Source organism: Homo sapiens, chromosome 20 (genome assembly GCF_000001405.40).
Source record: "Homo sapiens chromosome 20, GRCh38.p14 Primary Assembly".
NCBI lineage: Eukaryota > Metazoa > Chordata > Mammalia > Primates > Hominidae > Homo > Homo sapiens.
This window is the reverse complement of record NC_000020.11, coordinates 48,405,271-48,409,482: the sequence shown is the minus strand read 5'-3', so window position 1 is coordinate 48,409,482 and position 4,212 is coordinate 48,405,271. Positions and strand designations below refer to the sequence as shown.

Here is a 4,212-nt window from a genome sequence, read left to right as displayed (position 1 = left end):
GAAGACTTCCTTTGCGTCGGTTTCTTTCTCTTATCTGCACAGTGGGGTACTGTTGGCTGCCTTAGGGATCACTCCTGGGAGCACCTTTCTCGGCCCATGCACTCTCCTTGCCCTTCACAAACTCAGATGGCTCCTCCAGCAAGAATCAAGTCCTGTCTTGCCCTAGGCAGAATCCATCACTCCAGTGCCTCTAGCTTCAACATATGCATGTTCTTCCACCCAACAAATCCTATATTTAGAAACGTATCCCATAGAAACCAAAGCTCTACAGTACAAGAATACATATTCAAAGATATTTATTCCAGTGCTGATCATACTTAGTTGATTATAGTTGAATCATTGAATCTGAAAACACTCTGAATATCCATTAGCAGGGGAATGGTTGATTAATGTAAAATTTATTCATATTATGGAATATTAGATGGTTATTTTGAAATACTGAGTTGGATCCTGATATATCAATTGAGATGATGTCTATACCATATTGAGGATTAAGAAAACACAGTATGAAGTATTTATGTAGTCAGATTATAGTTTGCAAAAGAAACCTAAGCCCTTATAAAGAGAGGTCAGGAAATCCTTGTCAGTGTGTATATGCCTGTGTATGAACCTGTGTAGAAGTGTGTAGAAAGTTGTGGAAGGAGACACATTTGGGAGTGGGGTTGGGAAGGAGGAGACAGGCAGGGGGCAGGGAAATTAGAGAAGGATTGAAAAGGAAGCGTGGTAGAATCCTGGGAGAAAATGTAGACAGAGTCTCCCTGTGTGTGAAAATTGACCATGTACATAGAAATGCACCAAGTTGACAAGATGTGGTTGCATTGGCCATTTTTATCTTGACTTATGTGATTATCTTGACATATTTTGGTAACAAAGATAATATACAAGTGAATGAACAAACTGATAAAAAGGAAAGAGCCCCTTGGTGGAGGACCTCAAGACCCACACAGAAGGTACAGTTGGCTTTGAGGGATTTCCCAAGACAGAGGAATAGGAGTGAGGTTGTCAGGCCCTGGGGGAACCAGGAACAAATGTGTGTGCAGCCCTCAGACCCAGGAGGTTGATTCACTCTCTGGGGACAGGGTTTCAGGACTCTATTCTTCTCTGCCTGGGGAGGGGGAGAGGGTGGGTGAGACCTGAGGTAGCTGAGTGTCCTTGGATTCCCTGCCTCATCCTGGGCAGGGTGGAGAGCCAGCCAGGGAAAGGTTACAGGACAAGAAAAACTTCAGGTGGAGACAACAGTAGATTTTAGCCTCTGTGAGCACACGCGGCTGTGCAAGGGGTGGTGGTTATCAATGACGGTCTCGCCCCTAAAGAGGTGCTTTGGGTGCACAATGCTGAGAGGAGCGTGATGTTGGCATTTGGGGTGTGAGCTGAGGATACTATGCGGCTGTAATACATAGGACAATCCCACACCATGCAGAATTTATCTTGTATCTTGCACTAGTTTTGAATGTTTCACTGGACATTCATGTAAGCAAACCCTATTTACAATGATCTGAGCCTCCAGTGAAAAGTCCAGTTTACATAGAGACGATCATAATGTTTTAATAATCACTGACTTTCCTGGGACAGCAACTCTGGTGTAAATCAAGGGAAACTCGTGTTTGTTTTGTTCAGAAGTTCACCACCAGCGGGTCAGCATCCTGAGCCCTCTCCTCACTAGCGGCAATGTGCATGACATTTGAGGTGGCAACTCAACAGGCTTGTCACCAGTCTGCATTTACAGCTTAATCACTTCTAGTGCGGTCAGTCAGAGCATTTGCATGTTGAAGTATGCATTAATTTGTTACAAATTACTTTACATAAATTACTTTTCTTATACTTCTGTCTTTATATTATAGTTAGGGCATTATATTGAACTTTTAAAAAGATGTGGATAGGCTGTATTTATGAATTATATTTCAAGATACAAGTGTGGAAATTATAAAATATTGGTTTAAAAAAGGTGGCATAGGTTTGGACACAGCTGAGAACCACATTTCTAAAACTCAGCAGTACCTTCTCTTTCCCCAGGGAAACTGCAGCCTCATTTGGAGAGGCTTTTGAGCTTTTTTGTTAAATTAAGCCAGATCTTTTACCATGAAAGAGGATCTTTTCTTTTCTTCTTACTCATCAAGTCTTCCTTTGCCAAGATTCCCCTTAATGAGTCTGCTGGAGGCCAGTGTAATTTTGATCATTACAACCTTGGGCCATATAAATTCTCCTGGAATTGTCCCTACAAATACAAGTATAACTGTCTGGCTCCAGTTTGCTGCAGACATGGCTGGGGCTTCTGCCAAATTTAGGTCACTGCCTGGTGGGCGAATGATTTGTCCCTCCATAGGGGACAGATCAATAATCAACAAACAAACACATTAAAAAGATAAAAAGGCAGAAAGCTTAGTTATGCAAATCAGGGTGGAAGAGAGAGAGGGCAAAGAAAAGGGCCTCATTCATATTCTGCAACTTCAGCACGCCCTGGCCCATTGGCCGATTTCTATTAAAACACTCCGCCCAGAGCAGCCAACACTCTGGCTCATTAATAAAGGTTTGTCCCAACTGGAGTAAACACCACCCGTTCCCAGGACACCCAGAAGCAGAAAATTAACCAGAGGTGAACTGGGTCATTAGCTGCTGCACAATATGGGTCATCCTAGATTAATTTAGTTCCCTTCAACTGGAGGCTCAAAGAGAGTGACCGGTTCTCATGGAGTGGGACAGTGACTTAGCAGCATGTTGAGGTCTCTTGGATACCAGGCCAGGAGCTGTCATTATGATTCATGGCACCTCTGACATCACTCGGTGGTTTTGTGATGCAAAGTTTCATGTTGTCTAAACACACACAAGGGAACCGGTGAGTTTGTGTGTGGTTGTTGTGTGCACACCCACAGAATGGGACACAGACACACAGAGGACTAAATGACACACTGGGTTCCTACAAGTGTCATCATGTCACAGTCCCTGAGTAGCCTGTTATACGATGGTGTTCTTGAACTATGTGAATATTTGGGCGATTGCAGGGATGAAGTTAGACAAATCCAAGCGTTATAATTCTGCATTATGCCTATGTTTTGACTTTTCGTCTTTTATTTGGAGAATAAGAAAGCCAAATAGAGAAAAGGAAGCCCAGCCAACCAGCCCAGTTTCACGTGGGCAGAACCAGGAGGAAATTCAAAGGGGAGGGAATCCCCCTCGCCAGAGTCGCCTCCGCGTGCACCAGGAAGCCCACCGCAGGCCCACCATCTGGGCTGGGAGATTCGTCAGCAGACATTGGCCTGCGACAGTCACACTTCCTGCTCCTCAGTCTGAGATGCCCCAACCAGATAGCGGAGGCCCAATGGGGAAGGAGCAGCCTCGGCGGAGGCCCGCCTGGTTTTCCAGCCCTGGACTTGTAGCCAGGACATCAGGACTCCCTCCTGCTCCCCAACTCCTCCTGCTGGTGAAGCAAGCCCCTCCTGCCCAGAGTGGAGCCTTCTCTGCCCTGGAAAGATGCTTGGAAACTTGGCGATGCTTCCAGACGTGCAGGCGCCAGGGGCCTGTTCTCTTCTCCTCCCCTTTCTCCTGGACTTGCTGACCTTCCTTCTGTGCCACAAACGGCCAGGTTCATTCCCCTGTGTGGCCGTGTTCCTGTCCCCAGCCCTGTGCATGGTTGCACCTCCTCACTTTTCAGGGCTCTGTCAAGTGTCACCTCCTGGGTGAGTGCCTCCCTGACCACCCTGTCTCCAGGAGCCCCCTCCACCCAGGCACTTCCTAGCATGTCACCCCATTTCCTCTTCTCAGGACCCCTCACCACCATCTGAAATGAACTTGAGTGCGTGATGAGTTGGGGAACATCTCTCTCCCTCCTTACCTGTGTATGAGCTCAAGGAGGAAGGGACTGACCTGACTTAAGAACCCGTGTGCCCAGCGCCTATGGCAGCACCTGGCACGGAGCTGCTGGCTGCCCACCATGCTGGATGACTCATGGGAGAGCCGGGGATCCGAGTCTTGCTGTGGCTGTTCACAGGCACCTGACTGTGGGAAGGACCTTTCCTCTAGGGATCAAGGTTTTTTCCTTGGTAAAATAGAGCAAATTCCTAATACTCATCACTCATGACTGCTGGGAGCTCAGACTGAGGTGACATATGTCAAAGCGCTTGGCCAACTCAGCTACAGAAAGAGAAGCGGCCATGTTAAGTTGCTGGCACACACCCGAGTAGAATTCAGGGAGTGGGCTAAGGGAGAGCACGGTGA

At 47.0% G+C, this 4,212-nt stretch overlaps 1 annotated feature.

Annotated features, from left to right (window-relative positions):
* Positions 2,853–3,629: an enhancer, noted in NCBI's record as "H3K4me1 hESC enhancer chr20:47034597-47035373 (GRCh37/hg19 assembly coordinates)". NCBI's record gives its function as "activates a minimal SCP1, AML or CMV promoter by ChIP-STARR-seq in naive H9 embryonic stem cells {active_cell/tissue: H9 hESC(naive)}" and the evidence as "EXISTENCE:reporter gene assay evidence [ECO:0000049][PMID:30033119]".